This window comes from Homo sapiens, chromosome 2 (assembly GCF_000001405.40).
Source record: "Homo sapiens chromosome 2, GRCh38.p14 Primary Assembly".
Taxonomy (NCBI): Eukaryota; Metazoa; Chordata; class Mammalia; order Primates; family Hominidae; genus Homo; species Homo sapiens.
Window position 1 is genome coordinate 227,654,272 of NC_000002.12, and position 25,445 is coordinate 227,679,716.

At 42.2% G+C, this 25,445-nt stretch overlaps 1 protein-coding gene across 1 annotated transcript, besides 2 other annotated features; it reads left to right on the forward strand.

Annotated features, from left to right (window-relative positions):
* Window positions 12,181-12,681: an enhancer, noted in NCBI's record as "H3K4me1 hESC enhancer chr2:228531168-228531668 (GRCh37/hg19 assembly coordinates)". NCBI's record gives its function as "activates a minimal SCP1, AML or CMV promoter by ChIP-STARR-seq in naive H9 embryonic stem cells {active_cell/tissue: H9 hESC(naive)}" and the evidence as "EXISTENCE:reporter gene assay evidence [ECO:0000049][PMID:30033119]".
* On the forward strand, window positions 12,533-12,790 carry SCYGR5 (small cysteine and glycine repeat containing 5). The gene has a single exon (NM_001395406.1). It carries the CDS (start codon window positions 12,533-12,535, stop codon window positions 12,788-12,790), a length of 258 nt encoding a protein of 85 aa, NP_001382335.1.
* Window positions 12,682-13,182: an enhancer, noted in NCBI's record as "H3K4me1 hESC enhancer chr2:228531669-228532169 (GRCh37/hg19 assembly coordinates)". NCBI's record gives its function as "activates a minimal SCP1, AML or CMV promoter by ChIP-STARR-seq in naive H9 embryonic stem cells {active_cell/tissue: H9 hESC(naive)}" and the evidence as "EXISTENCE:reporter gene assay evidence [ECO:0000049][PMID:30033119]".

Sequence of the window (25,445 nt, forward strand, 5' to 3'; positions counted from 1 at the left end):
GCCACTGTACTCCAGCCTGGGCGACAGAGCAAGACTCTGCCTGGCGGAGTGGGGGTGGGCTGGGGGAAAGACAATTCTGATGAAGGCTCAAAAGGAAGAGAGGAGAGCTACAAAGAAAGCTTCTATTGTCTTAGAGAATACGTGTACCACCATGTACAGAATGTTTCTAGAATTATGCACATTACAAGGTGTTTCTGGTGAGGTCTCAGATGGAAAGGGGTAGCATTTATTGGACACTGAAGGAAAGGTGATTGATCTGTGTTATAAAGCAGCAGAGAACTTGGCTGTATTATGTCGTGGTGTTGGAAGGAAAGCAGAACTTGTAAGTGATGATGCACTTGGATATTTAGCTGAGGAGAATCCCAAGCAAAGTGTGCAAAGGGGAAGCCTGTTGTCTCCTTGTTGCTTGTAATAAAATGTGAGAAGAAAGAGATAAATTAAAGAAGGAACTGCTAAGCAAAAAGGAAGCAGTACCTGATTTGGAAAATTCTCCACCTGTCCAAATAGTATACTATAGAAATGTCAAAAGTATGGCTCAACAAGTGTTTGCTAAATAAATGAGGTGTGTGGCTCATGGATCCAATCATTTATCTCATCAGAAGCCAAGAATAGAGATGTAGTTGTTCAGGAAAGATCTGTGCAGGGCCCTCTTGTCTGATGGCTTAGATCACCATGAATTTCTTGGGAGGCTGACAACGTTTTTGAGAATTTTATACCAGGAGAAACATTGCCATTCTGGACTGAAAGAGACCATAAAATTAACAAGAATGACTTAAAGCCTGGAGTGCTGGATGCAGAGGCCAGTCTCGAACTCCTGACCAGTTCGAGACCAGTCTAGCCAACATGGTGAAACCCCATTTGTACTAAAAATACAGAAATTAGCCAGACGTGGTGGCGGGCACCTGTAATCCCAGCTACTCAGGTTGCTGAGACAGGAGAATCGCTTGAACCCGGGATGCAGAGGTTGCAGTGAGCTGAGATCACGCCATTGCACTCCAGCCTGGGTGACAAGAGTGAAACTCCATCACAAAAACAAACAAACAAAAACATTGTAGTCTTTTATGAGAACATCTAAGTTTTTAAACAACCACCATATGGGTGTAAAAGATCATCAGGCCATAGAGGATTATGCTCAGGCCTTGAAGTCTTTTTTTTTTTTTAATTGTAAGTTTTCTTCAGTCTCAGAAGGTATCAGGCCTTGAAATCTAATGGAACTTGCCTTCCTAGGTTTCAGACTTGCTTGGGACCCATGACCCCTTTTTTCTTTCCAATTTCTCCCTTTTGGAATGAAAATGTCTGTCCTATGCCTAGATATTGTATTGTGTAAGCAGATGACTCATTGTCTGACTTCACGGGTTCATGGATGAAGAAGAGTTTGCCCCAGGGTGATTCATACTCTGAGTCTCAGCCATCAGTGATGTAGATGACAACATTTGGGACTTTGAGTTCATGACCTTTAGATGAAATTTTGGACTTAGAGTTGATACTGGAATGGTTAAGACTTTTGGGAATATTTGGAAGGGGTGGATATATTTTGCATGTGGGAAAGATGAATTTTGGGGCAAAGGGGAAGACTATTATGGGTTGCTTGTGTCCCCCAGAAAGACACGTTGAAGTCCTAATCCCCAGCATCTCAGAATGTTAATTTATTTGAAAATAGGGTTGTTGTAGATGTAATTAGTTAGGTTATGATAAAGTCATGGTGGAGTAGGGTGTGTTCTTAATCCAATGACTTGGTGTCCTTATAAGAAAGGGAAAAGAGACACAGAGACAGACCTGACAGTGAGAAGACAGCCATGTGAAGACCAAGGCAGAGATTGGAATGATGGATCTACACGCCATGGAATACCGAGAATTGCTGGTAAACACCGGAAGCTGAAAGATGCAAGGAGGGGCTCTCCCCGATAGGTTTCAGAGGGTACATGGCCCTGTTGACATCTTGAATTCAGACTTCTAGCCTCCAAAACTGTGAGACAATAAACTCACGTTGTTTTAATCCAACCAGTATTTATGGTATGTCATTAAAACCACCCTAGGAAGCTGACACAGATTGTGCTACACCTAATTTGAATTTTTAATCATTTGCACAAAATGTGGGATTAAATCTTTAATTAAAATATTTCATTTAAATCTACTGTATTCTGATTTTCCATGTATCAATACTTTCACTTTTGTTAAATACAAATAGGACAGATGAATCTATATTTACATATGGAGTGAAATTTTCCAGTTTGTTTTTGTTATCTTTAGCTAGGTAATAAATGTTAGTTACACCCCGTGTGGTGGTTGTTTGAAAACTTAGATGTTCACATAAAGGACTACAGTGTTATTTATTTATTTATTTATTTATTTATTTATTTGTTTGTTTGTTTGTTTTGAGACAGAGTCTTGCTCTGTCGCCCAGGCTGGAGTGCAATGATGCGATCTCGCCTCACTGCAACCTCTGCCTCCCAGGTTCAAGCGATTCTCCTGTCTCAGCCTCCCAAGTAGCTGGAATTACAGGTGCATGCCACCACGCCTGGCTAATTTTTGTATTTTTAGTAGAGGCGGGGTTTCACTATGTTGACCAGGCTGGTCTCAAACTCCTGACCTCCCACCTCGGCCTCCCAGAGTGCTGGGATTACAGGCGTGAGCTACCGCGCCTGGCCTACAGTGTTATTTTTAAAAACTAGATACTATATGAAATGCAGACATGATAAAGGGGTGCTTAACCCTTTTAGGTGACCTGCCTTTTTAAGAAAATTGCAATTTTCATAAAAAAAGTATACATTTTAAAATAGTTTAGTCATTACTCATTTTGTAATTTATTTTATATTGATTTTCCCCTCTGAGATTCAAATGTTTGTAACCATTGCTGTCTTTTTTACAGGTCTCTCTTCTTTATCAAGTTATCATATTTGGGAACAAGTGTAACATGGTAGAAATGAAGATGTCTCTTGCGTGGGAGGCTGATGCTCCAAGGGAACCTTGGGCAGGATCCATGCTTTCTGTTAACACAGGCTTCATCTACCCTAAGTGCTCAGGCAGCGTTTGGAGAAGGAAGAAGGATGACTGGAAGGAAGAAAGTTACTTTTTTTTTTTTTTTTGCAGTTGTGGGGAAATTGCACTGATTCACGCATGTACTTTTCTCCAGTCTCCCCGGTCACGAACAGAGCGTAATTGCTGCACGTCTGGCCAGAACAAACACTTGAGCTGGAAATACCAAACTGTATATATGTTAAACACAGGCTAGTTTTACAGAATTTTCACCTCTACTTCTCAATACAAAACCTGTTTTTCACAACTAGCATTACCCCCACACGCAGAAATTTTTAAAGAAAAGATGACTAGGTCTATTCTAGAACCTTTTGTTATTCCTGGCAGTAGTACAATGAAATTGGGTCTAGTGGTATTTATTGTTGGGGTGGATGTAACTCCTATTGAATCTGAAAGCACAGCATCAAGTGAAAACTGCTGAACAAATGCTAAGCATAGAAACTCTTCTGTTTATGAACTTTTTGGTTTTCAATAGGCTGCCCTGAGTATGCTTTTTTGTTCTTAATTGAACACAACATGGTACAAAAAATTACTACCCCTGGCCGGGCGCAGTGGCTCACGCCTGTAATCCCAGCACTTTGGGAGACCGAGGCAGGCGGATTCCAAGGTCAGGACTTCGAGACCAGCCTGGCCAACATAGTGAAACCCCGTCTCTACTAAAAAATATAAAAATTAGCTGGGCATGGGGGTACATGCCTGTAGTCCCAGCTACTCAGGAGGCTGAGGCAGGAGAATCACTCGAACCCGGGAGGCGGAGGTTGCAGTGAGCCAATATCGTGCCACTGCACTCCAGCCTGGGTGACGGAGTGAGACTCTGTCTAAAAAAAAAAAAAAATTACCTGTGGGTGCTGGGCTGAGCCATGATTTTGTTCCTCATCTGGAGGGATTAAGGACTGCTTGGCTAAGCTCATCCCCAGTTATTGACTCAGTTGGACTTGTGGGGAAGGTGTGAAACCAAAATTTTTTATTTCTAACAAATTCCCAGGTGTTGCTGCTGCTGCTGCTGGTTGTGGACCTCACCTTGAGAACCACTGCGTAGCTCACAGCCGTCCTGGCCAGCTCTCAGGCTGAAAGTTTGAGAGAGATTTCTGTAGTCATTTTAGCTGTAATTCCCCCGAGGGTTACACTAGAGGGCAGTGTGATTACAGCTACTGCGATGGACAGCAGGTTGACTTCACACTGAATCCAGACCGAGGTTTTATATTTTGTTTCCAGATGTTTCATGTAGGCATTTGTAGGTAGAAAAGGTTCTGCTGCTAAAAAGAAGTTAAAAGTTTGCTCTCTCTCCTGTCTTTTTATTTTATTTACTTATTTTTTTGAGACGGAGTTTCGCTCTTTTTGCCCAGGCTGGAGCGTAATGGCACAATCTCGTCTCACTGCAACCTCTGCCTCCTGGGTTCAAGTGATTCTCTTGCCTCAGCCTACCAAGTAGCTGGGATTACAGGCATGCACCACCACTCCTGGTTAATTTCATATTTTTGGTAGAGATGGGGTTTCACCATGTTGGCCAGGCTGGTCTCGAACTCCTGACCTCAGGTGATCCGCCCGCCTCGGCCTCCCAAAATGCTGGGGTTACAGGCGTGAGCCACCACGCCCAGCCTTTTTATTTTAAACTCATATATATTTATTAGCTGGAGAGCTGAGGCTATTGAGGTGTACAATTTTATTTTCCATTATTCAGAGAATGTTAGAGATAAATTTGCTATTTGAGCTCACTTTTCTAAACGTGTTTTCAGTGACTCCTGTTTTGTTAGTAGTAGAAATAGGGTTTGAGACCAAATAAAGCTGGAAACACTGAGTTAAAGTTACACAGACTCCTTTATTAAAATATTCCTTAGAGCCTGTGTTTGTACATTGGAAACCACTGGGAGGAGGATGCGGAAGGCAGGACCGCTGTGGGAGTAATGCCTTCTGGGTATTTTGGACAGGAAACACCTGCCTGGTCCTGATTCTTCGTCTTTTCCATAAGGAATTAAAAACTGGAAGAGAAAAATGACTGCTATGTAGTGACAGGACCTGTCTCCGGACTGCAGTCCAGGGTACTTTCCGTAGGACCAAAATATTATTACCTGCAGTTCTATGTGCAATGACAATACCCGGGCCAGTCAAATGCACTCGGTCTTCGGGCCTCGGGTCTTCCTGTTCCACCTGTTAGGACGCTCTTGCTCCAGGCATCTGCAGCCTTGCCTCCTCACTGCGTGCAGAGTGCTTAAATAGCACCTTATTAAAGAGGACCTCCCAGACCACTCTCCAAAATGGGCCTCCTTGGGTCACTCTCTATTTTCGTACCTTGCTTTGTCACCACCTGTTATGTGCTTAATTATTTTTTTGTTTGCTTCTTCTCTCTAAAATAGAGCTAGAACCGAAGGGACTTTATCTATCTTAGTGTCTGCTATATCCCTAGTACTTTGTAGGTGCTCAGTGAACATATACTGGATGAATTAATATTTTCAAAGTATAGAACATAAGATTGGTTATTCTATCAGCCAGAGTTCTCCAGAGAAATGGAACCAACATATTGATATATAAGTATACATAACACATTATATATATATATAATGTTAAATATGTTAAAATGGTAAAAACTGGTATCTTTTATTAAATGGTTCTAACAGTACCCAGATAATGTGAACATTATATACATTTACAGAAAAATTTCCACTTGCACTTCTGGGTTTAAAAGTGCAATATCTGGCCAGGCGCGGTAGCTCACACCTGTAATCCTAGCAATTTGGGAGGTCGGGGCAGGCGGATCTTTTAAGCCCATGAGTTCAAGACCAGCTTGGGCAACACGGCAAGACCTCATCTCTACGAAAAAATACAAAAAGTAGCCGGGTGTTGTGGCGGGCGCCTGTGGTCCTAGCTACACGGCTAAGATTATACCTAGACCTACACTACACCTATGCTGAGGTGGGAGGATCACCTGAGCCTGGGAAGTTGAGGCTGCAGAGAGCCATGATTGTGCCATTGCACTCCAGCCTGGATGACAGAGTGACACCCTGTCTCAAAAAATAAGATAATAAAAGTGCAACATCTGACACTTTCTAGTAATTGTTTAAATATAATGATATTGTATACTCTGGTTTCTCTTCAAATTGTGTACATCTTTTGCCTTTTAAATGTAATGGTATTTTATTTTATTTTATTTTATTTTATTTTATTTTATTTTATTTTTTTGAGATGGAGTTTTGCTTTGTTGCCCAGGCTAGAGTGCAATGGCGCGATCTCGGCTTACTGAAACATCCGCCTCCCAGGTTCAAGTGATTCTCCTGTCTCAGCCTCCCGAGTAGCTGGGATTACAGGCATGCGCCACTACGCCCAGCTAATTTTGTATTTTTAGTAGAGATGGGGTTTCTCCATGTTGGTCAGGCTGGTCTCCAACTCCTAACCTCAGGTGATCTGCCCGCCTCTGCCTCCCAAAGTGCTGGGATTATAGGCGTGAGTCACCATGCCTGGCCAGTATTTTATTTTTATATACTCTGGTTATGTTAGAGAATATCCTTCTAGGCTTCAGGGCGTTTGAATTTAAATATTATTAAGGTAAGGGGTATTTATATTTATCCAAAGGCCTCTCTGAGAAGGAATTCTATACTGGGTTTGACTGTAATTAAGGTAGCTGCCTTGGAGAATACTGGTCATTTTAATTTTCCACTCTCCAAATTTCACAGAAGTGTTTCTCATTGTCAGACTGACCTACAGTCATACAGGGAAGGGAATCCAGGCAACATCATCCCAGGTTTCTTCCATAAAGGAAGGAGGAGACTCTAGAAGGTGGTGGTGGTGATGCCAACAGACATGAAGTACAGGATCTTTCAAATGAGATTTTGAAGTTCACACACCTTCCATAAGGCCTACCTTCCCCTCCTCCACTGAGCATCACGGGGTTGCATTGTCTGTCCCTGAGCCGCAAGGCCCCTCCTCTCCTGCTGACTGCGAGGCAGTGGGGGTGGGGAGTGGAGTGTGTGTGGTCTTAGATAGAAAAGAAAGCCTGAAAAGAAACGTAATGTGCTAAACAACTGATGTGTTAAACACCTGCCTTCTGATATTCTTAAATGGCAGTCCTGTCTCCAGTGAGAAATAAATGTCTCTTGATAAATGCATTTACACTTACTCTCTAGTCACGATCAGCCAGTCCTCTGGGTAATGTCACTTTGAAGGAAGGTTGGATGCTTATCAGGAGAGAGTGAGTGGCCTTGGGTGGAATCCAGCGCCCAGTGGGGGACAGCTTTAGTGGGATGACCTTCCAGATCACACCACACTGGCTGCCACCCGCTCTGCCCTGCACAAAGTGGACCCAGGTGAAATAGCCCTTCTTGGAGACCCATTAGATGAATTCTTGTCTTCCTTAAAGTAAAGTTATTACTGTTCCAATTTATATCAACCAAACTCTTGCTTACATGGAGTAGGTGGCAATGACAGTTAGAAACTGAATTATACCCATAAAGAGCAATGCTGATAAGGAGAAAAATCTGTCAGTGGTTGAATTGACACTGGCTGCTTCCCATCTAGTTTGACTTCACAGAAAGTGGGGAAATGCTCTTTTTTTGTGGGATACTTCTGAGGTTTCCTGGGTCTTTCCTGTGCAAATGAATGATGAAATAACTATCTGCGGAGTCACTTAGGAGCCTTACTGGGGTCAGCCATTTTCTGTGCTCCAGAAAGCCCACCCTCTTTTTTCTTCCATTATATTTCTATCTCGTCTGACCACGTGTTGTTGCACAACTCCAAGGGTGAACTTGGAACTGAGATTCCAGTCTTTTCTTCCTCATGCTCTCATGCTTTTCAGAGACCTGGAGATGCTGAAATTCCTCTGCCTTTTCTTGTCTCTTTGCCTGCTCTAGCACTTCTGTCCTCTGAATTTGGTGGGAGAAAGTCAGAAGAAATAAATCTCACAGAATAAACAGAATAACAGTCTCCTTAGAGAGAGGAGGTGATGAAGAGGAAAAAATACAGACATGGAGGTAGATGGTCTTAAAGGAGAAAGGAGATTGGAAGCCAGTCCCCACAACTAACAAGGAGAGTAATAATGCTGCCTTTTCAGGATTTTTTTTTGGGTTGGGGGGGGACAGGATCTTACTCTGTTGCACAGGCTGGAGTGCAGTGGTGCATTCACAGCTCGCAGCTCACTGCAGCCTTGACTTCCTCAAGCTCAAGCAATCTTCCCACCTCAGCTTCCCAAGTAGCTGGGACTACAGGCACACGCCACCATGCCTGGCTAATTTTTGTATTTTTTGTAGTAGAGACAGGGTTTCATTATGATTCCCAAGCTGGTGTCGAACTCCTGGGCTCAAGCAACCCACCTGCCTCAGCCTCCCAAAGTACTGGGATTGCAGGCATCAGCCACTGCACCCGGCCTCTTTTTCAGGTTCTTGAGCTCAAATGTCAGCATCATCACTTTCTAGCTATGATCTTGGGAACTTAGATGTGGTCACTGATATTGTCCTTGCTTCTCATTGCTGCCTCCAGACAATTATTCCCAACTCCTTGGGAGAAAATGAAAATGTCAATCTATTTGAAACTCAATCAGCTAGAGCACTGTCTCCTCGGCGCTGACATCTACTGACTTCCTGGTCCGTCTTCCTCAGTCATCAAACCCTTTGGCATCAATTCTCCATCCTAGGTCCTGCCATTATCTTGCAGCTTTTCAGTATCCACATGTGATACATCTTGTCTTTTTTGTTCCTCAATCCCCTCATTTCTAGACTCCTTTTCCACTCTACCTCAGCTCCCCATTCTTGTGGCCACATCCTGTCCTCCCTCCAATGTAAGGAACTGCGTCACCTGGCTCTGTCTACAGGGATCTCGCCTTCTTGCTTACTCGATCATCTACTTCCACGGGACCATTCTTCAGTGTTATCGGGACATCCTTGTTCTCCTCTCAACCTCCCTGCCTGTCCTTTCTTCACTTCCCTTATTTCCTCTACAGCAATCACACCAATGCCCAAAGCTCCATGGCCTCCCTGTGTTTCAGTCACATTTGTATGAAAAAAAAACAATCCCAGGAAAAATCTTTGATCTGCTTGCTAGAGAAAGTCACACAATACAGCAAAATAATTCCATCATAAGCTCACAATCACCAGCTTCAAGTGGGATTTAATCAGGCAGTCCTGTGAGGTTTCTCTAGTTGGCTAGTTATTATTATTATTTTGAGACGGAGTCACATTCTGTCACCCAGGCTGGAGTACAGTGGCGCAATCTTGGCTCACTGCAGCCTCCACCTCCTGGGTTCAAGTGATTCTCCTGCCTCAGCCTCCCAAGTAGCTGGGACTATGGGTGCGTGCCACCACACCCAGCTAATTTTTTGTATTTTTAGTAGAGACGAGGTTTCACTGTGTTAGCCAGGATGGTCTCTATCTCCTGACCTCGTGATCTACCCTCCTCGGCCTCCCAAAGTGCTGGGATTACAGGTGTGAGCCACTGTGCCCAGCTGGCTAGTTCTTACTCTCCATCTTGGCCATATTACACTGTGTCTGTATTTCTCAGTCCTCAAATTCCCCTACTCTGCCTTCATTCCCAGAGACTATAACCTACTTTATAGAGAAAAAGGAAGTCACCAGATGCCATCTCCCTCAAGCTCCCAGCAACATGCAAACTACTCTCCATCTGCCTCCGCTCACCATGTCACACTCTGTAACACGAGGCAGCCATTCCTTCTCACTAGGGCCAGTCCCTTCATCGGGACCTGGAATTCCTGCTCCTTCCCCCTCTGAGCACATTTGCACTACATTTTTTTTTGTTTAAAAAAATAAATATTTCACTTCTTTTACTTAAATTGCCTCTCCTTATTTAAAAATTTATTTGACATCTTCCATTTTAGAAAATCCTCTCTTGACCCGGCAACGCTCCTCAATGACAGTCTGACCTCTCTTCCTTCATCAAAGACAAACCTCCTGAGCAAGTTTTCTATGTTAACTGTCTCTACCTGCTCTCCTCCCTCTCATTTTAAATCTCACCTGCAGGTATCCTGTCTCCTAAATAGAAACATCTCTTGCTGAGATCAAAAATAACCTCCATGTTTGCACCTGCAGTGAAAACATTCCACAGCCTGTTACTTGATGTCTCATTTTCATTGGCCACTACTGATCACTTCTTCCCACTTCAAACATTCTCCTCCCTGGGCAGCCAAACCCTTTCTGTTTTCCTGCTTTTTCCTTCTGTCCTCTCCTTAGACCACTGTGCATGCTCATCCTTCTCTAAGTAATTGTATTTCTTCAAAAGTCTGTCCTTGAGCCAGGCTCACGTCTGTAATCTCAGCACTTTGGGAGGCCGAGGCCGGTGAATCACCTGAGATCAGGAGTTCGAGACCAGCCTGGCCAACATGGTGAAACCCCGTCTCTACTAAAAATACAAAAAAAAAAAAAAAAAAAAAAAAAAAAAAGAGCCGGGTGTGGTGGTACACACTTGTAATCCCAGCTACTTGGGAGGCTGAGGCAGGAGAATCACTTGAATCTGGGAGGCAGAGGTTGCAGTGAGCTGAAATCACACCATTGCATGCCAGCCTGGGCAATAGAGTGAGACTCCATCTCAAAACAAAAAACAAAAAACAAAAACAAAAACAAAAAAAAGAAACTTCACTCTTACATATCACCAAGAAAGATACCAGGATCTCTTTTTAACAGACAAGTGTTCCTATAGTCTCCTGCTGTAGAGTAATACTTTTTTCTTTTTGTTTAATACCTTGAGGGTACAGACAAAGTCTTGTCCATCTTCAGAAACTGATTAAAGATCTAGCACTTTTTCTTGAAATTTCCCTGTAATCTGAATCAAGGCTTATGCTTTAGGACCATAGTGGGAGAAACCAGGGAGACAGTATATTAGCTTGCACTGCTGTAACAAAATACAACAGATTGGGTGGCTTAAACACCAAAAGAAATAGATTTTCTTAAAGTTCTGGAAACTGGAAGTCTAAGATCAAGATACCATCAGGATTCGGTTCTGGTGAGACTTCTCTTCCAGTCTTGTAGACAGCTGCCTTCTTACTGTGTCTTCACCTGATCTTTTCTCTGTCAGATAGAAAGAGCTCTGGAATCCTTTCCTCTTTTTATAGGAACACCAGTCCTGTAGGACTAGGGCACCACCCTTATGACCTTACTTGACTTTAATTATGTCCTTAAGGGCCCTGTCTCCAAGTACAATCACGTTGGGAGTTGGGGCGTTCACATATGAGTTTTGGAAGGACACAATTCAGTCCATAACAGATGGTAACTCTAACAGAATTCAAAATTGAAAGGAAAATCTAGTCGGTACACCACGTAATGTATTTCAATTACACAAGTTATATCTGTAATTTCTAGAATTCTATTTTATCAGTCCATGGCACTATCTTTTTCTTTGCAAGTTAATACTTCAGGTATGGGTTATATAATATGTACTGAATGATGTTTCCATGTTACTCACTGTCAGAAGGATGTGTACTTTCAACTGTGTGTCCAAAGGTGGTGATAATTTGCTTTGAGTAATACACATTTCCCTATCCAGTCAATCTGCCAAACCATGGTACAGAAGACAACAGGGTACAATCTGTGGATATGATAATGGAATACAGCTAAGCGGCTCACAGAACAGTAGAATCTCTTCTCTGGCCCCAGTCAAGACCTTGTGGTCCTTCCTTGAGAACACAGTCTCCATCTGGTTCTCTCTGGTGCTGCCAATAGCCTGGAAGATGGGCTGCATTCTCCACTGATCATGGTCCTGCCTGGCTGCCCTGAGGCCCTTGGTTCCTTGATCATTTCACTCCTGCCATGGTGACACCTTGGCACCTCATCAGCCAGCTTCCTCGGCTGTCCTCTCTGTTCCATTGTGCAAGGAAATGTTCTGGGTCTCTTCCATTCCACATGGGATCAGGGGGAGCCTTGTGGGTCACTCTCTGAAGTTGAGCAGGCCATCCCAGGAAGAGGATAAGATACACATCCACATATTTCTTCTACCTCTATTTTTCTTTCTCTTCTTGTCCCCATATCCTACTGAGTCAGAAGGCATTCATATCCCCGTTTCTTGTATATCACACCTTCTGAGTTTTTTCTTTTTTAATCTTTGAAGCCTGGTTCTTCATATGTAAACAGGAGCTTTAAAATTTTAGAAAAATTTCTTCTAAACTGTAACTCTTTTTTAAAGCCAAATGTTTCCAGAGTGGATATAGATGAGAAAGAACTCTAGATTCCTTTACGCATACTGGAATAAATAGTAACAAAGAAGTAGCTATTTGTCATGTGCCCTGGGTCACTCCATCACCATCCTCAGGATGGTACATAAGGGCCTCCCCCAGCAGGAGAAGGCATCAGACCTCCACACCTGGGAAAAATGTTAAGATTCCAGAAGAGGAGAGAGTGGAAAGAGGAAAGAAAATGGGATAGGACATACTTCACGGGAAAAGGTTTAACTTATTTGTGCAAGCCATGAAATGACTGTGATATTGAGCAAACACCCTTCTACCCTTTGGGCCTCAGTATCCTGAGTCCTCCCTCCTCACTTCCCTCGAGTCCTCTCTACTGACACCATGGGTTGCTGTGGTTGTGGAGGTTGTGGTGGCTGCGGTGGCGGCTGTGGTGGTGGCTGTGGCAGCTGCACCACCTGCAGGTGCTACCGGGTGGGCTGCTGCTCCAGCTGCTGCCCCTGCTGCCGCGGCTGCTGTGGGGGCTGCTGCAGCACACCTGTGATCTGCTGCTGCCGCCGCACCTGCTGCTCATGTGGCTGCGGCTGTGGGAAGGGCTGTTGCCAGCAGAAAGGCTGCTGCCAGAAGCAATGCTGCTGCTAGGCGGCCGGCCTGGCTCTGCTTCTGGACTGAGGTGCGGGGTCCTGCTTTCTCCAGGTAATGAGACTTTCCCCCATGCCCCTGCCTGCTTCTCTCCCAGACCTCCCCATCTGGTATCACCTGGGTGTCCAGGGACTTGCTCCTTTGGACTCTATAACCCCCTCTTTGAACCTAGTGGTTTAAAATCTTTTTATTAAAAAAAAATCCAAATAGGAAATGGCCATTACCAAAATACAACCCCAGACTCATCCCTAAAGATCAGTCCGCCTTGCTGAGCCCAGCCAAGAGGGTCATGATCCCAAGCGTTCTGTTTCCTGGGTGTTCAGATGGCCTCCACCTTTGTGTTTCTACTTCTCTGCACCTGCATGGGCACCATTTCCCACCTTTTCTATGAGTTTTGTTTCCAGTCACCACATAGCTACTGCTTATTTCCCTAATAAAACAATGTCAACAACCCTGAGTGCTTCTGTATTTATTCTGCCACGTCAACAGAGGGAACGTAAGAGATTTCTTACGTTGGCTCACACCTGTAATCCCAGCACTTTGGGAGGCCGAGGCGGGTGGATCACTTGAGGTCAAGAGTTCAAGATCAGCCTGGCCAACATGGTGAAACCCCGTCTCTACTACAAATACAAAAATTAGCCAGATGTGGTAGTGCGCGCCTGTAGTTCCAGCTAATTGGGAGGCTGAGGCAGGAGAATTGATTGAACCCGGGAGGCAGAGGTTGCAGTGAGTCGAGATAGCACCACTGCACTCCAGCCTGAGCAAAAAGAGTGAGACTCCGTCTCAAAAGAAAAACGAAAAAAAGAGAGAGTGAGATTTCTATCTCCTTGAACAAGTTGAGCGACAGATGCACCATGACCGGACCGCAATGCCAGCACGGGGCTGCTGGGGAGGCCACTACCAGGCCTCTGGGGACCTGGCCTCCCTGCCACCTGCCCTTTCTCCATCTCTTGAGATCGGCACTTCCCTCAGGTATTTCCACACCTGCTGCCACGTACCCCTGTTCTTCTAAAGACCCCAAGACCCAGCTTACTTGTCAAAAAGGAACCATGCACCTCTCCAGATGCAACTTCCTCAAAACAAATCTAAATATTTCACATAAGTCCATGTCGAACTGTAAACAAAAGGCAGGTCTAAACAAGCTAGAAAAATGGCCTATCGTTTTTTTCTAAGGATGGTTATTCTCTTGCCTTTTCTATTCCCTTATTTCTGTTATTTGTCTGTGAACTCTTGTTTTTGTGGTTGTTGTCTCAGAGTTGTTCTGTGTACAAACTAAAGCCCTTAAAATGTTTCTCCATGGGGTATTCCTATGAGCCACAAAACTACTATCTCTTACAAAGCAAACCTACATTCTCATATTTTTTCTACCTTATTTTTTATTTCTAACTGTATTTTTCTTTTCTTTTATTTATTTATTTTTAAGACCGGGTCTCACTCTGTCACCCAGGCTGGAGTACAGTGTCATCATCGCGGCTCACTGAAGGCTTGAACTTGTGGGCTCAGGTGATCCTCCCTCCTCAGCCTCCCAAATAGCTGGGACTACAGGTGTACACCACCAGGCTCGGCTAATTTCTTCTGATTTTTTGTAGACTCAAGGCCTTACTATGTTGCCGAGGCTAGTCTTGTATTCCTGGGCTCAAGTGATCCTCCTGCCTTGGCCTCCCAAAATGCTGTGATTACAAGCTTGAGCCACAGTGCCCAGCATCTTCAAACTCTATTAAGAGTGAAAAAACTGCAAAGGACTAAAAACTTGTAGCCAATAGAACAAAGAATATTTTTGGTGCTTTTTCAAAGGCATGTTTCCCTCTACTGGTGTATTCCAAAGAGGAAAGGAACTACAATCAGTTTATTTAGTAAATTAAGCAAAGATGCGATATGAGGCACCTTTCACTGGGAGTGACTAAGGTTGAGTACTCAATCTTTTACTAACATTGACTTTGAATACCAAGTGAGTTGACCAAAGCATTTGTGCCTATTATTATACTAACCACAAAGTAACCTTTGTTATGTTGTATAGTTGGTTAACAAATATGAACACAGAAACCAAGAGCACTTACATGACCTCCAAGGGCAAGTAATTAATATGAATGACATGTTCAGTGTCACTGTTAAGAATTTTGAGCCCCATTAGCCAATTTTTGTAGGACCCTATGCTTTACTAGTATAAATATACATGGAAACTTTGGAATCAATACCTCTTTATTTAAACTAGTGGCTCTCGGCCGGGTGCAGTGGCTCATACCTGTAATCCCAGCACTTTGGGAGGCCAAGGCAGGAGGATCACCTGCAGTCAGGAGTTTGAGACCATCCTGGGCAACATGGTGAGACCCAATCTCTACTAAAATACAAATATTAGCCAGGTGTGGTGGTGTGCACCTGTAATCCCAGTTACTTGGGAGGCTGAGGCACAAGAAGCACTTGAACCCAGGAAGCTGAGGTTGCAGTGAGCCAAGATCGTGCCACTGCACTCCAGCCTGGGCAACAGAGTGAGACTCTGTCTCAAAAAATAAAATAAAATAAAATAAAATAAAATAAAATAAAATAAAATAAAATAAAATAAAATAAACTATTGGCTTTCCAGGAGGTGGTACTGCCCCCGTGGGGTGCTTGGGAATTTGTAGAAATAGTTTTTGGTTGTCACAATCAGAAGTACACTACTGGTGTCTAGTGGGCAGGTGCAGGGATAGTAGATCCTGCCGTAGACAGGATATCCCCACAACAAAGTCTTGTTTTGTGACACATATGATTTTCAAAAGTCTCTTTGGCATTCAAATAAATGAAGTCCCTGTGTATAATTATTGGAACCTATAAGTAACTCCACTCTACACATAAACAGAGTATTTTTCACATTAGCTTAATGTATAGTGAAGATTCTAGGAAAGCAATAGATAGTAAATTAAGAGAAGATTCCATTCTGGTGGTTGGAAGTTTTACCAAGCATGGTTCTTAATTTCAGCCAATCATGTCATTGATTGTCCCTCCACAAAACAGAATTCATTTGCATGTCCGCAGACAAGAATCAATTGCATTATTATCATTTCTTGGTATTCCCATTAGTTCTCTGCATTGTTTTCAGTTCTCTATTACAGAGTTATAAAATAGCTCAAAGGCAGTAGAAGGCTAACATCAGAAAACCCAGAAGGATGTACCATAAACAATGCGTGGTTCCCTGCTGGAGACACCCAGTAATATTTTTGCTTATTCCAAATTTCCTTAGGCATTTGAATTAGTTATAGTAGATTAGTTTCAGGTGTTCTATTAACAGTAATGTTATGTTGATCTTTCTATGTATTTTTTGTGCCGGAGCACACTGTCTTCATTATTTTAGCTCTGTAATAGGCTTTAATGTCTATTTGCAGAAAGTCCTTTCTCATTTCTTTTTTTTTTTTTTTCCAAATTATCCATCTATTTTTCCTCTGTGTCCACATAAGCTTTTTGTTTAGGTTTCTGTAGTGCAGTGGTTAGCCTGTTCACCTTACACATGCATATGCTCTAGGATCATTTCATTACAGGGAAACAGCATCTTTAGACTTCGAAATTATAGAAAAGCTCATAGATTGATGAGGAAGGAATCAACAGTTTTGCAATAATCCATGTTGTTATCCAAGGGATGTAGGTATATAATTATAGTTATTTTTAAAGCTTTCGGAATTTTCAAGCTTAAGCAAAAAGCTTTTGCTTCTTTAAAGGATTCAATTCTCAAATCAATCTAGTTCAGGGAAAATTATTATTGGTTTTCATTTTTATAGTTGAGGAAAGGAAGATCACAGAAGTTAAAGTGCTTGTTGAGATTCGCACAATTAGTATGTGGCAGGTGTAGGATTTGACCTCCCATACCAAGGTCTGTGTTCTGTGTCATTACATCTGGGAGAACCAAAACCTAGGGTGGCTGCAGGTTTATCTGATATTCATGTTTGCTACATTTTAGAAATTGGAGAAAGACTGATTTGAATCACAGTCATCATAAGAGCATCTTTCATTTGGTCTTGTGGTCCTCTAAGAAACTCTAGAGTTTTTAACATGAACAATACAGAGAGACACAAGACTTCCCTTGAGAGCATTCAAATGAAGACAAGAATCATGATTTTTAATATTTGTGAATATGACTTACTACAAAATGACAACACTTCAAAGTTTAACTTTCATCCCACAGTTTTCTTACCTAGACAGGCATCCAAAAATCTCACAAAAATACTTAATGAACATGAGTCAGTCCGTTTAAAAAAAAATACTTACCACATTTATACCATAGTCAGCAATCATAAGGCTGTAGTCATTTACATAATCACAAATGTCTCAATTCTTATGTTGTTTTTTCTATCTTTCACAATAGGAAAATTTACAAAAGAAGAGATCATTGTTCTCCCAAGGCCCTCAAGGGTGAAAGAGAATTTGATGCCTGAAGAATAGCAGTGTTTTTTTAAATTCTCTTTTTTAAATTTTTCATCTTCAAGTATCCCCAGTCTAACCAAAGGCACCAGATCATGACTATATGATTGGGTCCTGTAGTGTCAGACTGAGGATACTTTTCCAGATTTGTTGCTTTATTACTAGTCAGCTTGATCATTAATCTAAGAACACATGATCTAACAGAAAAGTGGCACTTCATTGCTTTAATGTGCTTTCCAAGTGGCCTAAGGGCCCCTTAATTCTTCAGCTCACTTACCTAACTCAGACTTGACTTTATCTTCTCTTTGTGGGTACAAGTGTTCTTTTAGACTTTGTAAACTTTCATGGAATTTAGCATTTCTTGTAATCTTTGCATTTAGTTTTTTTTTTTTTTGACGTCCCTGAGAACATGTTGCAATTTGTTTTTCAAAGAAATAGTTGCGCAGGAATTACTAAAGCAGACGAGAAAAACTGGGTGTGACAGTAAACAGGAAAGATATATCAAAACTGGAGACAGTATCACTGCTTACTGATCATAAGCATCAGTATAAGTTTCCTATTCTTATATTCAGACGGCATTATGTTATCTAGCATGTGGTATTTAATACAATACCATAAATATCTTATAAAATGCTGTTCTTGGAACTGAAATTACTAAGATAAAATAATACTGTATAATTAGGGGCTATAACTAAATGGACAATGATGCATATGTAACTGTAACCTGAATGAATATTAAATAACTAACGAAGCTTGGCCACTTCTGAGGGTAGCAGCTGGTAAGATTCCCAAAGCCCACTCCCCCAGAAGATCCCTGTGGACTTTCACATGGCCCACTGTGAAGATATAGCCGTGTCCCCTGAAAGGAAGGAATAACCATATCTATATCTTGGTAGCCAAAGTGTGAAATGGCTTTATCCATTGTTGTCAATACCCATACTACAACAAAATACAGATTTTTTTTGCTTGAATTTTGATTTGATGAAAAGCAACCTTGTGTCAGAGACAAGTCTGACAGAAAAAAAAAAAGAAAAAAAGAAAAGAAAAGAAAGAAAAGCAACTTGATTCAGCTCTACCAGATGTTAATAACCTTTTCCTTTACTTATTGTTTTCTTCTCCTTTTCCTTAATTCATTGGCGTGAGGCAGCAGCCAAGGCCTGCAATGGTTCTGTCTTCTCCTGGATCTTCCTTTGGCTTCTGTGACCTTTTGGTTAGCTACATACCTGGTTAGCTCCATAACAAAGGGTTCCTTTTCCTGCAGGACACCCATGCCACCAAGGTCAGGGGCAACAAGAACTGACAAGGGGGGCTGTCTGTCCTCCTGGGCCCCAGCTCATAACGGTGAGCCCCAGCTAGTTCTTCCTCTCCTCCCCTTATATCCATTTTTCTGCCCTCACTTCTTGATCTGCGCACTTCAAGCTCCAGCAGAAGGACACAGACTGGCAGAGAACACGTAGCCAGGTCCTCAATGGCCTAGGTTCCTGAGGAAGCCTGAGTCTATGATACAGCAGTCACACCTTACTTTGCTTATTGGTCCTCAGCCCAATTCCTTGTAGGTCTGTTTTAATTTACTGGAAGTGCTAGAACCACATATCTACATATCTATTCTCTAAATTGATTTAATAAAGACATTTTCTATAATTAGGGCTATTTTTTTAATGTGATGAGAATGTATTTGTGTTTAAAATAAAAACTGATTTTCTGGGCACTGTGGCTTACATCTATAATCCCAGTGCTTTGGGAGACAGAGGTGAGAGATGATGTGAGGCCAGGAGTTCAAGACCAACGTGGGCAATAACAAGACTCTGTTTCCAAAAATAAAAATAAGGCTGGGCGCGGTGGCTCATGTCTGTAATCCCAGCACTTTGGGAGGCTGAGGTGGACAGATCACTTGAGGTCAGGAGTTCAAGATCGACCTGGCCAACATGGTGAAATCCCGTCTCTACTAAAAATAGAAAAATTAGACCGCTATGGTGGCGTGTGCCTGTAATCCCAGCTACTTGGGAGGCTGAGGCACAAGAACCACTTGAACCTGAGAGGTGGAGGCTGCAGTGAGCCGAGACTGTGCCACTGCACTCCACCCTGGGTGACACAGTGAGACTCTGTCTCAATAAATAAATAAATAAATAAATAAATAAATAATAAAATAAAATGAAATAAACTACCTGAGTGATATGGTTTGGCTGTGTGTCCCCACCCAAATCTCATGTCGAATTGTAATCCCCAGTGTTGGAGAAGGGGCCGGGTGGGAGATGATTGAATCATGGGGGCAGACTTTTCTCATGGTAGTGAGTGAGTTCTCATGAGATCTGGTTGTTGAAAAGTGTGTAGCACTTCCCCCTTCGCTCTCTTCCTCCTTCTCCCACCATGTAAGTCGTGCCCCTTTTGACTTCTCCTTCCACCACTATTCTAAGTTTCCTGAGGCCTCCCCAGCCATGCTTCCTGTACAGGCTGCAGAATCGTGAGCCAGTTAAACCTCTTTTCTTTATAAATTGCCCAGTCTCAGGTATGTCTTTATAACAGTGTGAGAACAAACTAATACAATGGGTGTGGTGGCACACACTGTAGTTCCAGAGACTTGGGAAGCTGAGGCAGGAGGATCACTTGAGCCCAGATTAGAGCTGCAGTGAGTCGTGACCACACCACTGCACTCTAGCCTGGGCAACAGACTGAGACCTTGTCTCTAAAAACATAAATTAATAAAAATATAATAAAATAGTTAAAATCGTACATAAAAAAAAAGGCTGGGTGCAGTGGCTCATACCTGTAATCCCAGCACTTTGGAAGGCTGAGGTGGGAGGACTGTTTGCGGCCAGGAGTTCGAGACCAACCTGCGCAACACAGTGAGACCCTGTCTCAAAAAAGTTAAAAAATAAAATAAATTGAGAATGACATGAAATACACTTAAAGAATAAAAAATAATAAATTTAGAAAGGAATAAAAAATAAATATTTACCTCCTATTTCAAACTTGCATGTAGGAACAACAACAACAAAAAATCCCGGAGTAAAGCCAGATTCCAGAGCTAGACTGGAATTTCACAAGTTGGAGGCAATGAGAAAATAAGCCCAAGGTTTTCTTGCAAAATGTCAACAAACACGAGTGTAGAACATTCCAGTTTCTTAGAAAATGTCTTCAAAAACAGAACAATCAGAAAATAAATGCAGATAGTTGGATCAACCTCTGACTCCTATCATGTGCTTCCCTCTGGCCTCCGAAGGAAATGTGAGAAGGGTCACAAGCTGCCTCAGGAGGAAAAGGCAAGAGTGTGACCAAGGTCCTATCAACCTCATGCCTATTTTAACTCCTCAGATGAGAGGAAGGATACAACGGGCAGGAAGAAAGCTCCCCAATGAGGAAACTATGATGAAAATTGGAGACCCTCACATCCGTTCTTGTTTTTGTTTGTTTGTTTTGAGACTGAGTCTCGCTCTGTCGCCCAGGCTGGAGTGCAATGGTGGGATCTCGGGTCACTGCCACCTCCGCCTCCCGGGTTCAAGTGATTCTCCTGCCTCAGCCTCAGAAGCATCTGGTATTACAGGTGCCCACCACCATGCCCGGCTAATTTTTGCAGTTTTAGTGGAGACAGGATTTCGCCATGTTGGCCAGGCTTGTCTCAAACTCCTGACCTCAGGTGGTCCGCCCGCTTCGGCCTCCCAAAGTGCTGGGATTACAGGCATGAGCCACCGCACCTGGCCACCATTCTTTAGAACTTCCTTCTGCAGTTTCTCCAGGTCCCGATGCTGGCTAAGACCACATTGCCACTATCAATTCAACCTTTTCATTTTCTTTCTCTGTATTCTTCTTTTTCTCTGCTGTCATCTCCATAATCAAATGGTGTTTGTTAAAAAGTAATATGTTCTGAGGCCCGCCACAGTGGCTCATGCCTGTAAGCTCAGCACTATAGGAGGCTGAAGGCAGTTGGATTGCTTGAGCCCAGGAGTTTGAGACCAGCCTGGGCAACATGGAGAAACCTCGTCACTACAAAACAAAACAAAACAAAACACAAAAATTAGCCAGGCATGGTAGCGTATGCCCGTAGTCCCAGCCACCTGAGAGGCTGAGGTGGGAGAATTGCTTGAGCCCCAGAGGCAGAGGCTGCAGTGAGCAGAGAGTATGCCACTGTACTCCAGCCTGGGTGATGGGAGTGAGACCCTGTCTCAAACAAACAAACAAACATAAAACATAAGCAGGATATATAGAATCGGTGGTATCTCTTAATTTTACACTGATGAAATGCAGCCTCAAAGAGTATTATACAACTTACACACTTTGTAAGGAATAGAATATGATTGAGAATTAGTCTGTCCGATTAAGGTTTAATCACATGCTCCCTTGATAAAGGATATAACAAAAGTAGAATTGTTGGGTTCCCTGCTTTCTAATCATGCCTTTCTTAATAAGAAGTATTCTTGGCTGGGCATGGTGGCTCAAGCCTGTAATCCCAGCACTTTGGGAGGCCAAGGCAGATGGATCACCTGAGGTCAGGAGTTCAAGACCAGCTTGGCCAACGTGGTCAAACCCCATCTCTACTAAAAATCAAAAATTAGCTGGGCATGGTGGCACATGCTTGTAATTCCAGCTACTCAGGAGGCTGAGGCAGGAGAATCACTTGAACCCGGGAGGTGGAGGTTGCAGTGACCTGAGATCATGCCACTGCACTCCAGCCTGGGTGACAGAGCAAGACTCCATCTCAAAAAAAAAAAGTGTTCTTGACAGTGACCTCTGAATGCGCACAGATCCACAGCCATTTTGTGAAACTGACTTAAAGAATGTTTACTTTGACAAGGTAAAGTAAAAACACCTTACACTTCAATAGCTTCTCTTGCCTTGTTATATATGTGAGAATTATACAATGATGCCTTATGATTCCATAAAACTTGAATTATAATATGCTGGGTAGATACAAAGGGACCATAACCTCTTTTCCCCCACATAATACTGTTCTGGTTTCGGTCAATTCTGGTCACAATTTAACATGGATTGCCTAAGAAACTCAGAAGAGCTTTGGTTCTCGGAATCTCAATTTCTAGAAAACAGAAGGACAATTGGCAGAAGAAGGCATAGAGGAAGGTGCAGATGTCCACCCCAAATTGCTTCTCCTTTTCTTCTGTCTGAACTTGGGGGAATAGAAGCCACATGTAGAGCCACAGAGAAGGCAGAGCAGTGAAGGAGCTACTGGCAATAATCTACCAATGTCTTCCTTTAAGAGTGGGCGAATTGGCTGGGCACAGTGGCTCACGCCTGTAATCCCAGCACTTTGGAAGGCCTAGGTAGGAGGATCACTTGAGCCCAGGAGTTCAAGATCAGTCGGGGCAACACAGGGAGACCCCCATCTCTATTTATTAATATAAAATTTTAAAAAAGGGTAGTTGAATTGAGGCTGCAGAGGATCTCCTGGGCGGAATTTGGGCTGTGCTTCTTTTTCCCGTGTGTGTGTGTGTGTGTGTGTGTGTAAATTTATGGGGCACAATGTAATTTTGTTACATGAATATAAAGTCCAGTGGTGAAGTCAAGGCTTTTAGTGTATCCATCACAAGAATAATATACATTATACACCTTAAGTAATTTCTCATCATCCACCCCTCCCAGGACCCCCACCCTTCATGAAATGCAATTCAGGCATAAAAAAGAATAAAATCATGTCTTTTGCAACAACATGGATGGAACTGGAAGCCATTATCTTAAACGAAATACCTTAGATACAGAAAGACAAATAGTGCATGTTCTCACTTATAAGAAGCTAAATAATGTGCATACATGGACGTAGAGCTTCTCTTTTGTTTTGACTTGACCCTTCTCACCCTAGAGCTGTCTGAGATGTAACTGTATCTACATTTCTATTTCTGAGGCAAACTGCATTCCTCCCCCATTTTGCCTTTAGTCTAGCCACCAAGAGTAGTGGTATTTAGGCTTCCAATCAATGTCATTCTCCATGCACTGTCTTCTTGGCTTTACTTGGAGAATATAAAACTAGCCCAGTGGTTCAAGTCTTCATTTAGGACAGACAAATCAAGTAAACCAAGATGTTTTCTCATTTTGATTTTAACAAGGACAACTGGTGGATCATTTAAATGAGGGAAGGTGATCGTGGGGAAGAAAATGGATCTTGGGAAAAGAAAGGGTAAATTTCTGATTTAAGTGACATTTCTATCCCAAAGCAAGTGAACTGCTGCAGCCTCTTATCTTCTCCTACTTGTATTTCCATGACCTGCAGATATATTGGGACAAATCCTGGGAGCAGATGATGTACCTTCTAGTATTGCTTTAAAAAAAAATGGTGAGATGACCTCAAAGAAGAATAAATACTCCCTTTGGGAAATATTTGTTCAAGTATTCCTTTACTTTGTAAGTCTTTAATTTTAAGTCAAGGGCAATAGGATCATCTGGTCAGAATTTACAATTTGAGGTACTGTATATATAAGGCATTTGAACATTTTGAATCCCAATCATCCTCCACTAGTTTTGTGTGTGTGGAAAAGCAAACAGGTGAGACTAAGCTTCCTTGAAATGAATCCTGGTTAAGATGAATAAAATAATGTGAATCTTTGTTATTTATTATCCAAGAATCATAAATGTCTGTGAGTGTAAACTTAAGCATGTATTCTTCTTTGAGGTCACATAAAAATCTATATACACAGATGATTACTGTAGGAACAACCCCAGATAGGCTCAACAAATTTTGGCAGTGATCCATTTCTGAAACAAAGCCAAAAGCAGGTAAGCAGATTGGCCAATGGAATATCCTTGTTAAAAACTAGACTGAGTGTATTTTATAAAACTGGAATGACCACTGCAAACACTTTCCTAGTTTAGATCATGGTTTTAGGATTATTCTGCGTAGTACTAATCTGTTCGGCAAATCTTCGTGTATCTTTTCCTTCATGAAAAAAATTAAAATTGACAAATGGGATCTAATTAAACTAAAGAGCTTCTGCACAGCAAAAGAAACTACCATCAGAGTGAACAGGCAACCCACAAAATGGGAGAAAATTTTTGCAACCTACTCATCTGACAAAGGGCTAATATCCAGAATCTACAATGAACTCAAACAGATTTACAAGAAATAAACAAACAACCCCATCAAAAAGTGGGCAAAGGATATGAACAGACACTTCTCAAAAGAAGACATTTATGCAGCCAAAAGACACATGAAAAAATGCTCATCATCACTGGCCATCAGAGAAATGCAAATCAAAACCACAATGAGATACCATCTCTCACCAGTTAGAATGGCAATCATTAAAAAGTCAGGAAACAACAGGTGCTGGAGAGGATGTGGAGAAACAGGAACACTTTTACACTTTTTGTGGGACTGTAAACTAGTTCAACCATTGTGGAAGTCAGTGTGGTGATTCCTCAGGGATCTAGAACTAGAAATACCATTTGACCCAGCCATCCCATTACTGGGTATATACCCAAAGGACTATAAATCATGCTGCTATAAAGACACATGCACACATATGTTTATTGCGGCACTAGTCACAATAGCAAAGACTCGGAACCAACCCAAATGTCCAACAATGATAGACTGGATTAAGAAAATATGGCACATATACACCATGGAATACTATGCAGCCATAAAAAATGATGAGTTCACGTCCTTTGTAGGGACATGGGTGAAATTGGAAATCATCATTCTCAGTAAACTATCGCAAGGACAAAAAACCAAACACCGCATGTTCTCACTCATAGATGGGAATTGAACAATGAGAACACATGGACACAGGAAGGGGAACATCACACTCTGGGGACTGTTGTGGGGTGGGGGTAGGGGGGAGGGATAGCATTAGGAGATATACCTAATGCTAAATGATGAGTTAATGGGTGCAACACGCCAGCATGGCCCATGTATACATATGTAACTAACCTTCACATTGTGCACATGTACCCTAAAACTTAAAGTATAATAATAATAAAAAAGGAAAAAAAAATTAAAAAAATTAATGATTATTTTGAAACAGCTTATAGGTCAAGACTAAGTTTTGTTGACCCACAAGTGAAACAGAGGTATCACTAATAAATCATCACTCCAAGATAATGTTTTCCATAGTGCATCTGTGACAGTCTCCTAGGGTGGAATGAAAATGATAAACTAGAGTCCACAGAATTTTGCTAGGAAGGGAAAGAAGGTAGTAGGCATGAGGTATCTTAAGTGTTAAACCCTGAAGGAGACTTTCCATTCTTGCCAATAAAATGGACACATAGTGTGTAGCTGTTAATAAATTGAAAACAGGTAGTCAGATATACATGTTCTTTAAAATGT

What these genes read in the sequence shown, in the direction of transcription:
- SCYGR5 (NM_001395406.1), top strand. Translation starts at nt 12,533, where the DNA reads ATGGGTTGCTGTGGTTGTGGAGGTTGTGGTGGCTGCGGTGGCGGCTGT.